At 38.7% G+C, this 14,024-nt stretch overlaps 1 protein-coding gene across 21 annotated transcripts in view; it reads left to right on the forward strand.

The window, feature by feature from the left end:
* Positions 1–14,024, forward strand: part of MYO3A (myosin IIIA) — a 278,304-nt gene that overhangs the window by 152,858 nt on the left and 111,422 nt on the right. For 20 of the 21 annotated variants that reach the window (XR_930494.1, XM_011519498.3, XM_011519500.3 and 17 more), the window contains 3 exons: positions 1,117–1,319; positions 9,295–9,393; positions 9,482–9,596. Coding sequence is in view for 20 of the 21 variants with exons in the window: in XM_011519498.3 (XP_011517800.1) it covers positions 1,117–1,319; positions 9,295–9,393; positions 9,482–9,596 (417 nt within the window). In the remaining variant the exon portion in view is untranslated. Of the gene's footprint in view, positions 1–1,116; positions 1,320–9,294; positions 9,394–9,481; positions 9,597–14,024 lie in introns of those variants that run through there. The other variant, XM_011519512.2, reaches the window with a different exon arrangement.

Genomic DNA, 14,024 nt, shown 5'->3' on the forward strand with positions numbered 1-14,024 from the left:
ATAGAACTTACCTTTGAAATATGCAGTCTTCCAAATCTTACTTAACAGGTCACTGCTATTCAATATATGCCAATGAAAATGTTATCTCACCTTTTTCATGGGTGCAAGGCCAGCCCAAAGCATTTTAAAGAGCCAAGTTCATCCCCCAAATTACTACACTCTTCTTCCACACCTTATTGCCTCTTTTATAAGATACCCAAAGTTCTTACACAGCCTCAAAACTTCATTGTGAATGCCCCCTCCAACCCACTCAAATTCTAATGTAGTCTATGTTCCAGAAATAGCCACCACTGCTCTCCCTCAACATAGAAACTTTGCAGTAACTCTAACATAGTTGATCTCGGTAAAGTATTAAGGTAGGTATTACACTGAAAATCTACTTAAGCTAACTTCTGCCAAGTTGTGAATAACTAATACCTCCCTAAACCTCTGGGGGCAGAGGTTGGAATGCCTTTGTAAAAGTGATTGGCTATTAACCCAAATAAATTTCTACTCAGTAGAATTTCAACTGAAGTGGTAAAGAAGAAAAATGGAACATACTTCTTTGAGGAGAGGAGCATAAGAGGTGGGGAAGGAATAGAGGTAGAGCCATGTAAGCCTGCTAACCTTGACCTGGTTTCCACTCCTCCCATTCATACTTCTGAGCTGTTCTCAGTTTTCACAATTATTCCCTTCTCTCTGCTTCTGAATTAATGAGTTATCTTTCCTCTCTTAGTTTCAGGGTTAGCAGCTTCTGTGGAAGCCAGTAAAGTGGTTCTGGCTTTGGGGACTATTTGGATGGGGGCCCACGCAGGTGGAGGAGGAATAACAGAATGACAGGTGTACTTCAATGTGCGTAGGCTGCTTATAAATTATGTTTGTAAATCAGGCACTGAACAGAACTGCGCTTGAATAGAAAAGTATAGAATATCTCCTTGTCCCTTTTTAAGAAAACAAGTGAGTGAATCCACATATGGGAGGGGGAAAATAGACCAGGATGTAACATCTGCCAATATATCAGGAACATGCTTTTGTATGTTTATATCTACATAAATTGCTTACCAAAGAAGAGACATTTCATTATATACCAAATTAATTTTTTATGTTTTTAAAAATATCTTAATATTTTCTATTTAGGCTAATAACAGAACCTTGCAAGAGAAGATTTTACAAGTGAACAATTTGGTAGAAGCCTTTGGCAATGCCTGCACTATTATAAATGACAATTCTAGCAGATTTGGAAAATACTTAGAAATGAAATTCACCTCTTCTGGAGCGGTAGTGGGAGCACAGATTTCTGAATATCTCCTGGAAAAATCCCGAGTTATCCACCAAGCTATGTAAGTTTATTTCAAATCTCTCCTATTTTGGAGGAAGCAGAAGCAAACATAATACTTTAATAGTAAAATGTCTTTCTCATTCAATAAAATTTTATTTATCACTTACTATATGCAAAGCACTTACTATTGAGAATGAAGAGATCCATCAGCACTGTCTTATTCTCAAATATATGTTACATCCAATAGAGGAATTAATGTATAACCTAAAATTTATGCTGCCAGATAGAAAACCTAAGCCCATCATAGAGGTACTAACAGCGTAAATTAGAGACCATTCTGACATAGCAGAGAATATATTTATCTATACAAAATTAATGTGAAATTTAATTAGAAGTAACTGAGTCCTTTTCTGTTTTAAATGCTAGCATATATAAATAGATCTTTGTATTCTATTCTTCCTATGTTTATATACAAGGGACCAAATAAAAGATTCAGGAAGGAGCTTTATCATATTGACCTTTTATTGCTGGCTGATTTAAGCCATCAATACTCTTCATAATGCTTTGATATTAAGTTGAATGAATTCCTTTTGCGGGTTTGTAGCTTAATGACAAAGTTTCTCTCCTGTCTCACAAAACATCTTTGTTATTCTAAAGAGGAAACTATCGTTACACATTGGATTTGTACCCTGGTGGTTACATTATTTTGCTTAAAAGCATGGCAAGTTAGAATCTTTCATTTTTCTTATGTTGGTTTTATGCTAAACATACTCTACATTATTGTAGTAGTATGTCATGTTAATTCACAGTAACATAATAAGCTCTTGTTTTATATTAGTACATTATTATTTAATGTAAGTGCCTTCAAGCTTGGTGTCATTCAATTCATGAGTAAGTCATGAATAGAAGTTGCCTGGAGTCCAGCTCCTAATATGGAAAATTACTCTTTGGTCTTCAATTAAAAATATGGAAGGAGGCCGGGCACAGTGGCTCACACCTGTAATCCCAGCACTTTGGGAGGCCAAGGCGGGTGGATCACGCGGTCAGGAGATTGAGACCATCCTGGCTAACATGGTGAAACCCCATCTCTACTAAAAATACAAAAAATTAGCCGGGCGTGGTGGTGGGTGCTTGTAGCCCCAGCTACTCGGGAGGCTGAGGGAGGAGAATGGCGTGAACCCAGGAGGCGGAGCTGGCAGTGAACCGAGATCATGCCACTTCACTCCAGCTGGGGTGACAGAGCGAGACTCCATCTCAAAAAAAAAAAAATGGAAGGAATGATTATTAAACACATATGGCTTTCAACTGTGGTACCACACCGTTTTAATCCACTTTGGGTAAGATATTTAAACCTTAAAGATTCTTACAGGATCTTGGCTCTGTAATTCATTGTATGTATGATTTGAAACAGTTTACTTAACCTCTCTGCACCTCTGTTTTTCATCTTTAAAATGAAATAGCATTAGTACCTACCTATCAATTAAGACAAGGTACCTACAGTATATAGCACAATGAATGGCATATATTAAGAACCCCATAAGTTTAAGCCATTAGTAGTAATAGTAGTGTTAATAGTTGATTAGAAATAACATATAGCACAGTACCTGGGATATTGAAGATGTTCAGTAAATGGCAGATACTATTTATTGATGTCTGTCCAGTGCCCAAAACTCAGTGGACATGTGTGTCAGTGCCGTTGCCACCCATAACTAGAAGGACCGCGGGATCTTAGCAGATGTGGAAACTTAGCTAGTTCTCAAAACCATTTGTTCTGCTTTCATAATTGTGTAAGCTTCTCCTTCAGGCCCTTCAGGAAGAACTACTTAAGAGTAACTAATTGGTAGATGGCACCACCATGTTGCACAATGTCAAGGGATATAATTCACGGTGTATTCTATGGAGTTGAGTGCAGGAACTCAGTTCATATAGAAGAGCACATGAACAGAACACTCTGGAGTTACACAATGAGGCCCTGAGCTTGTAACCATAGAAATAATATCATTAATGCTTACTGAAATATCGTAGGATGCATTCTAAGAAATAGCATAGTCAGGATTATATTTAAGGCATGCTGTGAATTAAGTAGTTTTTTTCCCCCTAAGGAACTATTCTAATTTTACAAGTTTGCTTATTGGGGAAAAGCATTCCAAATTCCAAATTCACAATCAAGTGGAAATATAACTCAGTTATAATTTGAGCACAGCTGTCTTTAATTTATAACACTTTTTCCATTTTTATATCTGTTTTTTCTTTCACCTAATTTAATTGCATTTTTAAGTTCCAGAGGAGCTTTGAGTGACCTATGAATATGAAAATATCAGACATGTGATTGATGGAAGAATTCTTAATAGGTACATTTACAAATTATAAATTTAATTGCACTGTTATCAATCAGGGTACTGAACAGAAAGAACAAGCTCAAGGGTTTTAACTGAGAAAACTGTTTACAGAGATCACATGGGCATTGAAGAGCCAAGAATGAATGGTGAGAAGCCCATGGACTAACAGGGGTGAGGAGCCATGGCTGCCTTCCTGTCTGCAGGTGGAGGGAGGGGCAGCACTAGTGCCTGGTGCCAGCTGCAGCTGTGGATCAGGGGCTGCCTGTCTGGAGCTATGGCCCTAATGGGACACAGCCAGTCAGGGAGAGAGCAAGGGGATAACATCCCAGCCTCTCTCTCCTTCATTCGCCTGTTTCCTGCCTGTGCTTCCTATTGGCTGAACCCATATGGAAGCCAGAGAGCAAGGGAGCCCAAGAATTGCAGGCTGTAGGGATTGGCCCTTGGGGTCCCAGAGCAAGACAAAGAAGAGTGTAGAATGATTTGAGGAGCAGGGAAGAATTAGAGCAGACGAGTATCTTTTTTTAATGAACTCACCCTTTCTTTTAAGACATTTTGTTCTTTTCTTCGGTTTTTGCCTCTGGCGATGTCATCCCAGCTCAATCTCTGACCACATTTATTTTTAGATTACCTTTCTAATGATGATAGTACTATCTTATAACTTGTGACTTAAATCCTTTTCTAAACATAGATAGTTTTCAAGGAGAAAATTTTAAAAGAGGCTACTTAATTTCAAGAATAAGATGAACCTATTGAAGGCAATGCTAGATAATTCTCATAAATACAAATTATAGCTATTTCCATTGCAGTTTCCTCCTGTTACTACAGTTTAGTTCAGCAAGCATTGATTGCATTTCTCTGATGTCCCCAGCACTTAACAGGACTCTATAGGAGACATAAATAAGTGGCTGACATGGTCCTCTCCATTGTGGAGAAAGGGAAATGTATTTATGGAGCAATTACTCTATGTCAGGCACTGCACTAAGCACCTTACAGCCATTATCTCTTTTAATTCTTCCAGTCATGTGACAGGGTGTCATTTTCTCTTTTAAAAGTGAGAAACTAAGAGAATTTTAATAAGTTGCTTAATGTCAAAAAGCTGGCAATGACTGAGTTGGAGTTTGAAGCCTCATCCTTCTGTCTGACTCCCAAGCCCACCATTCATGCATCCATCCAGCCATCCGTCTATTTGACACATATTTATTGAGTGCCTACTGTGTGCTAGGCACAGGAGACATAAAGCCAAGTAAGGCAGGATTCCTGTGGTAACACAGCTCACAGTATGATATAAAACGTGCTGATCACTCATTGGTTTCTAGTCTCTCATGAAAGTAGGAAATGAGTTCATCTGCTAAGATTGAGCAGGTAGGTGGCAAGAGGAGGGGACTGAGGAGACTGCATATCCAGGAGGAGAGAGTTTACAAGGAGGGAGCTGTGATTAAAAAGGAAAAACTGAAAGTGTTGTTTTACGAATACCCTGTAGTGCCTTAAGAATGCAAAGCTTCGGCCGGGTGCGGTGGCTCACGCCTGTAATCCCAGCACTTTGGGAGGCCGAGGCGGGTGGATCATGAGGTCAGGAGATTGAGACCATCCTGGCTACACGGTGAAACCCCATCTCTACTAAAAATACAAAAAATTAGCCAGGTGTGGTGGCAGGCGCCTGTAGTCCCAGCTACTCAGGAGGCTGAGGCAGGAGAATGGCATGAACCTGGGAGGCAGAGCTTGCAGTGAGCCAAGATCGTGCCACTGCACTCCAGCCTGGGCAACACAGCAAGACTCTGTCTCAAAAAAAAAAGAATGCAAACCTTCATTATTAGCTTTCTAAGTCTGATTGTTGGCCACTTCGTTGAAGATTCAAAGGTTTCACAGGTGAGTTAAGCTATACCCTTGTGAGTACTTTGACACCGTTTGAGGCTGTCAGAGGCCTTGGCTGCACAGGTAAGCTTCAGGGTGCAAAGCAGGTGAACACACATATGAGACAGCCCTGAGGGCCTTCCTGCAAGCAGCTGAGTGGAACTCACTCTGAAGAAGTGTTAGAAGATCCACAAGTAGGAATGAGGCCACAATAAGAGAAATTATATTTGGTAACTTGCAAGACCCCATGTCTGTCCCCAGGCGGTCCTGACCTGGGAACCCCTGAAAACATTAGCAAGTGTGGGATACTGTAGTGCTCTGTGTTCTTAAGCACAGCTTGATATGGTTCGTGACCCCGGGTAAGCTTTGGAGGTGTGTTCTTTTCCTGTTTCTTTAACTTTCTGATTGTCCGCTGAAGATCAGTATATTCCCAATAGTATCTCCAGATCTTTTCAAATTATAATTCTCAATAAATGTAAACTGATGAAGAGAAATCCATTAATATTGTTTGTCTAAGTTTTAACACTTAACGGATACAATGTACAATTAATGTACATTGTTAACAATCACAAATGTTAACACTTAACTGATACAAATGTGATCATGATTGTTAACACTTAATTGATACAATGTACAATTAGTGTACATTGTGAACAATGTAGTACAGTGTTAACATTCACAATTGCACTGTATTAGTTAATGTTAACAATCACATTGTTAGCACTTAACTGATACAATGTACATGAGTGAAGTGCACAGTCAGTGTGCTTCATTAGAAGAAAGCAAACTGAATTATATGCTGTGCCAGTCGTAGAGAAGTTTTTATTATTTTGTGGTGAGAAAAGACAAGAACTAAAGGAAACTTTCAGTTTTGTTCTAACTTCACTTGTATGCAATGTTGGTGTTACTTGCATTATCACTGGTGACCACAACAAGTAACAGAATAGGATGGGTTCTGAAGGAAAGGACCCAGCCTCTGGACCACCCCTTTTCTTGAAACCTTCACTTTTCTTTGCCCCATGACTAGATTCTCCTGATTCCTCTCCTACCTCCCTGAATTTTTCTTCTGTTTTAGATTTATCCATCCAGTCTCACATTGTATATTTACCAAAGATTTGTCCCTGCAGCTTTTCTCGTTTTTTCTCTACACTCTCTCACTTCAAAAATTCTTCTGACATTATGGCCTCAACAGAGAGCTCTACGTGATTGACACCCAAAGACATACCTCTCCCCCTCTCTTAAAACTGAAAAACATTTACATTTTTTTTAAAATTGCCAACTACCTACATATCCTGCTACCATCTCAAATTCAAGTGAATACACATCTCAAATCTGTTTCTTTTCCCATAGCCCTTTTCTTTTGGAATGGAACTATCCTTCTCTAGTTATATAAGACCCCCCGACTCTCTCTTCACTCAGGGGAGAGTTTCAGTGCAGAATGCATGCTAACCAATAGCATTGTTACTTTTCTCTTTAGAAATGTCTTCCTTCCTTTTGAAATACTAACAAGGAAGACCAGAGATCTGCATTATTCACCTTATCAAACTCTACCCTTTCATATTAAGTATTTCAATTTGTTAACTTTCAAGAAAGACCAAACAGGGTACCTTCAATAATTATTAGCGTGTCTGTCACAAGTATCAAACCTTTAATGTTATTTTAAACCTACATGACTGATGTGTTGGAGTCCTTATTGAGCTTCTGTAAAAAATTATTCTTGTGATGGCTTTTGGCAGAACCTTGGATCAAAACTAGAGATTATAAAATAAAGCCACAGTTGTTCTAAAACTCCACTGCATTATTGGAAGAGTAAATACATATGGATATATCTGAGTTACTGTTGATTCTGAGGAAAACTTCTACATACTGAAAGAATGAATAATTTCTTTTTTTTTTTTTTTTTTTTTTGAGATGGAGTCTCGCTCTGTTGCCCAGGCTGGAGTGCAGTGGCACGATTTCGGCTCATTGCAAGCTCTGCCTCCCGGGTTCATGCCATTCTCCTGCCTCAGCCTCCCCAGCAGCTGGGACTACAGGTGCCTGCCACCACGCCTGGCTAATTTTTTGTATTTTTAGTAGAGACGGGGTTTCACCGTGTTAGCCAGGATGGTCTCGATCTCCTGACCTTGTGATCCGCCCACCTCGGCCTCCCGAAGTGCTGGGATTCCAGGCGTGAGCCACCGCACGCGGCAAGAATGAATAATTTCTAAAGAGAGCAATAGTAAATTTCCATCTACACTGAGATTATACTGCATAATATACAGGGGGAGAAGACCCTGGAATGTTTTTAAATCCTTTCTTACCTTTTAAGTAAAATAATTTGCGTGTAATTATGCATATCATGAAGTGGGCTTTTTTCCGTTCCATGTACTTCATATGGAAAAGAATTCAAAGGCTCCTCTGTTCTACTAAAAATAAGCTTAATAATAATAATTCCTTTTCTGAAAGTATTTCATTGGCCCCCTAAGTTTGCAGATAAAGGCTGTGGAGGGGGTGAAGGAAAGGAGCAGGGCAAGAGGGGATGCAGGCTGCTCCGGAAGTTTGGGTGTGATGAGTTGAGGACCCAGAGCACAGTTCAGGCCACTGCCAAAAGTGGCAGGAAGGGGAGTATCCACAACAATTTAGTGTCTCCTGCCCCAACCCCTATGGTGGCATCCAAAGCTTTGTGGTGGGATGACAGTTTTATACCAATGGAAAGAGAAGTAACAATAGAAAAAAGTGAAGACAGCAAGTCCTTCTGGTTGAGACATAATTAATTTAACCACTGTAAAAGGAATCCTACTCTGCCCCAACCCCAGCCTGTGAGCCTGGTGATAATGGAGTGAACAGTGAAGTGAAGATTGAGGACCATCCTAAAACAGGAGGAGATCCTAGTGGGAGGACGAGAAGGGGAATGCCACAGAGAGATGCAAACCCCAGGGTGTCCCAGCTGACCACTAGGCTCATCAAGAGTGGAAGTAAAGCAGGGAAGTAGAGATGGGGAAACTATAGAGCAGGAAGTTCATCCTCTGCTGTTTCAGCAGAGAGCCTGAAAGTGTGATTTTTCCCTGGAGCCCACTACAGCAGAAGGAAGACATGAGGGAAGGAGAGGGGACCCCAAGGTCCAAGAAATTATGTTGTGGAACATCCTGAAGTGGAAACTTACCTTGTTGTAATCATATTCCCTTAATGGCATTATTGCAGCATCTGGAAAATGCTAGTTATGCTACTTAGAATCACAGAGTCATGGGATTTGAGACTTATAAGAAAGAGATTCCTCATACAAGTGAGAAAACTGAGTCTCAGAAAGACAATATTAAAAGGTGGTTAAAGGCGTGGGCTTTGGGGTCAAATAGACCTGATTCAAATCCATATTAATCATCAACTCTGTGGCTTTGGGGGAGATTGACAGCTCTAATCCTCGGTTTCCTTCTCCATAAAATAGGAAACACATGACCACCTCAGGGGCTTATGGTGGGTTAATGAGACAATGTAGCACTTGTAACCACTGGCATGGCTGTATACATTATTCTTTTTCTGTCTGCTCCACTGGCATGTAAACTCCAAGAAGTTAGGGATTTTTGACAGTTTTGCTCCTGCTATATCCCCAGCGCCTGGAACAGTGCCTGGAAGTCACTCACGAATGTATACTGAATGATTCCTATGAAGTGATTAAGATAATTTCTGGAATTTAATGACAGTGGTTGTTGAAAATAATGACAACAATAATGACCACAGAAAGCCAAAATGCAGTATTCAGAAAAGCCCATATCAGCACTCACAGTCGTTGTTCAAATAATTATATTGTCAAGTAACTTAAGCAAGAAATGTTCTTACTAACTACCTTACTGTAAATATCTTTTTTTCCAGTGGAGAAAAAAATTTTCATATTTTTTACTACATTTATGCTGGTTTGGCTGAAAAGAAGAAACTAGCCCATTACAAACTGCCTGAAAATAAGCCTCCCAGGTAATCTACCAGGTTGAGCTTTCATCAATAATACTTTCACTTTTCCCTTAATTTTAGACTTTTATCCTTCCTTTTATATTTTTTTTAGGTACCTACAAAATGACCACCTCAGAACAGTACAAGACATCATGAATAATAGTTTCTATAAATCCCAGTATGAATTAATTGAGCAATGTTTCAAAGTCATAGGTTTTACAATGGAGGTAAGTATGAAAGACACTTGAACTTCTTTAGAAAGTATCTTTTTATCATCACTAATGTTAAGAGCATTTATTGAGTGATTAATATATACCAGCATAAGTGCTTTACATAAATTGAAACAGCATTATGAAATAACTGGAAATATAATATTTACTTTATAAGTGAAGAAATAGTGGCCTTGAGATATAATTGAATTTCATTTTGTTCTTAACCTTTTATTTTACTTATACTTACATTTCCCATATACATATATGGGAAATATATATATAAATACATATATAATTTTACATAAATATATAAATTGCATGTTCTTTTTAGTGCAGTCTTTTTAATAACAACTTTATTAAGATATAATTTCCATACAATATAATTCACCTATTTAAGGTGTATATTTCAGTGACCTTTAGTATATTCATAGAGATGTGTATTCATGACCATAATCATTTTTAGAATATTTTCATATTATAAATTTTTCACCCCAAAAAGAAATATGGTAGCAATTAGCATATTTCTGATGCAATTCTGACTTCATCCCTACTTTCTATCACTATAAATCTGCTTTTTCTGGACACTTTACATACAAGGGATCATATAATATGTGATCTGTTGTGACTGGTTTCTCTCACTTAGCATGTTTGCAAGGTTCATCCATTTTTGCAGCATGTATCAGTACTTCATTTTTTTTTAAAGTAAGTTCTTTAACGTTTTATTTTTTTTTAATTATATTTTAACTTCTAGGGTACATGTGCACAATGTGCAGGTTTGTTACATATGTATACATGTGCCATGTTGGTGTGCTGCACACATTAACTCGTCATTTACATTAGGTATATCTCCTAATGCTATCCCTCCCCCCTGCCCCCACCCCATGACAGGCCCCAGTGTGTGATGTTCCCCACCCTGTGTCCAAGTCTTCTCATTGTTCAGTTTCCACATATGAGTGAGAACATGCAGTGTTTCGTTTTCTGTCCTTGTGATAGTTTGCTGAGAATGATGGTTTCCAGCTTCATCCTTGTCCCTACAAAGTACATGAACTCATCCTTTTTTATGGCTGCATAGTATTCCATGCTGTATATGTACCACATTTTCTTAATCCAGTCTATCATTGGTGGACATTTGGGTTGGTTCCAAGTCTTTGCTATTGTGAATAGTGCCACAATAAACATATGTGTGCATGTGTCTTTTTTGCATGTGTGCATGCAAACATATGTGTGCATGTGCATGTGTGATAATCCTTTGGGTATATACCCAGTTAATGGAATGGCTGGGTCAAATGGTATTTCTAGTTCTAGATCCTTGAGGAATCACCACACTGTTTTCCACAATGGTTGAACTAGTTTACAGTCCCACCAACAGTGTAAAAGTGTTCCTATTTCTCCACATCCTCTCCAGCACCTGTTGTTTCCTGACTTTTTAATGATCACCATTCTAACTGGTGTGAGATGGTATCTCATTGTGGTTTTGATTTGCATTTCTCTGATGGCCAGTGATGATGAGCATTTTTTCTTGTGACTGCTGGCTGCATAAATGTCTTGAGAAGTGTCTGTTCATATCCTTCGCCCACTTTTTGATGGGGTTGTTTGATTTTTTCTTGTAAATTTGTTTAAGCTATTTGTAGATTCTGGATATAAGCCCTTTGTCAGATGGGTAGATTGTAAAAATTTTCTCCCATTCTGTAGGTTGCCTATTCACTCTGATGGTGTTTCTTTTGCTGTGCAGAAGCTCTTTAGTTTAATTAGATCCCATTTGTCAATTTTGGCTTTTGTTGCCATTGCTTTTGGTGTTTTAGACATGAAGTCCTTGCCCATGCCTATGTCCTGAATGGTATTGCCTAGGTTTTCTTCAAGAGTTTTTATGGGTTTAGGTCTAATATTTAAGTCTTTAATCCATGTTGAATTAATTTTTGTATAAGGTGTAAGGAAGGGATCCAGTTTCAACTTTCTACATATGGCTAGCCAATTTTCCCAGCACCATTTATTAAACAGAGAATCCTTTCCCAGTTTCTTGTTTTTGTCAGGTTTGTCAAAGATCAGATGGTTGTAGATGTGTGGTATTATTTCTGAGGGTTCTTTTCTGTTCCATTGGTCTACATCTCTGTTTTGGTACCAGTACCATACTGTTTTGGTTACTGTAGCCTTGTAGTATAGTTTGAAGTCAGGTAGCATGATGCCTCCAGCTTTGTTCTTTTGGCTTAGAATTGTCTTGGCAATGTGGGCTCTTTTTTGGTTCCATATGAACTTTAAAGTAGTTTTTTCCAATTCTGTGAAGAAAGTCATTGGTAGCTTGATGGAGATGGCAATGAATCTACAAATTACCTTGAGCAATATGGCCATTTTCATGATATTGATTCTTCCTATCCATGAGTATGGAATATTCTTCCATTTGTTTGTGTCCTCTTATTTCGTTGAGCAGTGGTTTGTAGTTCTCCTTGAAGAGGTCCTTCATGTCCCTTGTAAGTTGGATTCCTAGATATTTTATTCTCTTTGAAGCATTTGTGAATGGGAGTTCACTCATGATTTGGCTCTCTGTTTGTCTGTTATTGGTATATAGGAATGGTTGTGATTTTGGCACATTGATTTTGTATCCTGAGACTTTGCTGAAGTTGCTTATCAGCTTAAGCAGATTTTGGGCTGAGATGATGGGGTTTTCTAAATATACAGTCATGTCATCTGCAAACAGAGACAGTTTGACTTCCTCTTTTCCTAATTGAATACCCTTTATTTCCTTCTCCTGCCTGATTGCCCTGGCCAGAACTTCCAACACTATGTTGAATAGGAGTGGTGAGAGAGGGCATCCCTGTCTTGTGCCAGTTTTCAAAGGGAATGCTTCCAGTTTCTGCCAATTCAGTATGATATTGGCTGTGGGTTTGTCATAAATAACTCTTATTATTTTGAGATATGAACCATCAATACCTAGTTTATTGAGAGTTTTTAGCCTGAAGGACTGTTGAATTTTGTTGAAGGCCTTTTCTGCATCTATTGAGATAATCATGTGGTTTTTGTCTTTAGTTCTGTTTATATGCTGGATTACATATATTGATTTGCATATGTTGAACCAGCCTTGCATCCCAGGGATGAAGCCCACTTGATCATGGTGGATAAGCTTTTTGATGTGCTGCTGGATTCGGTTTGCCAGTATTTTATTGAGGATTTTTGCATCGATGTTTATCAGGGATATTGATCTAAAATTCTCCTTTTTTGTTGTGTCTCTCCCAGGCTTTGGTGTCAGGCTGACGCTGGCCTCATAAAATGACTTAGGGAGGATTCCCTCTTTTTCTATTGATAGGAATAATTTCAGAAGGAATGGTACCAGCTCCTCTTTGTACCTCTGGTAGAATTCGGCTGTGAATCCATCTGGTCCTGGACTTTTTTTGATTCGTAGGCTATTAATTATTGCCTCAATTTCAAAGCCCGTTGGTCTATTGAGGGATTCAACTTCTTCCTGGTTTAGTCTTGGGAGGGTGTATGTGTCCAGGAATTTATCCATTTCTTCTAGATTTTCTAGTTTATTTGCCTAGAGGTGTTTATATTAATCTGATGGTAGTTTGTATTTCTGTGGGATTGATGGTGGTGTCCCCTTTATCATTTTTGTTGCATCTGTTTGATTCTTCTCTCTTTTCTTCTTTATTAGTGTTGCTAGCGGTCTATCAATTTTGTTAATCTTTTCAAAAACCAGCTCCTGGATTCATTGATTTTTTGAAGAGCTTTTTGTGTCTCTATCTACTTCAGTTCTGCTCTTGTCTTAGTTATTTCTTGCCTTCTGCTAGCTTTTGAATGTGTTTGCTCTTGCTTCTCTAGTTCTTTTAATTGTGATGTTAGGGTGTCAATTTTAGATCTTTCCTGCTTTCTTTTGTGGGCATTTAGTGCTATAAATTTCCCTCTACACACTGCTTTAAGTGTGTCCCAGAGATTCTGGTATGTTGTGTCTTCATTCTCATTGCTTTCATTTATTTCTGCCTTCATTTCGTTATGTACCCAGTAGTCATTCAGGAGCAGGTTGTTCAGTTTCCATGTAGTTGAGTGGTTTTGGGTGAGTTTCTTAATCCTGAGTTCTAGTTTGATTGCACTGTGGTCTGAGAGACAGTTTGTTATCATTTCTGTTGTTTTACATTTCCTGAGGAGTGCTTTACTTCCAACTATGTGGTCAATTTTGGAATAAGTGTGATATGGTGCTGAGAAGAATGTATATTCTGTTGATTTGGGGTGGAGAGTTCTGTAGATGTCTGTTAGGTCTGCTTGTTGCAGAGCTGAGTTCAATTCCTGGATATCCTTTTTAACTTTCTGTCTCATTGATCTGTCTAATATTGACAGTGGGGTGTTAAAGTCTCCCATTATTAATGTGTGGGAGTCTACGTCTCTTTGTAGGTCTCTAAAGACTTGCTTTATGAATCTGGGTGCTCCTGTATTGGGTGCATATATATTTAGGATAGT

This window comes from Homo sapiens, chromosome 10 (assembly GCF_000001405.40).
Source record: "Homo sapiens chromosome 10, GRCh38.p14 Primary Assembly".
NCBI classification, from domain to species: Eukaryota; Metazoa; Chordata; class Mammalia; order Primates; family Hominidae; genus Homo; species Homo sapiens.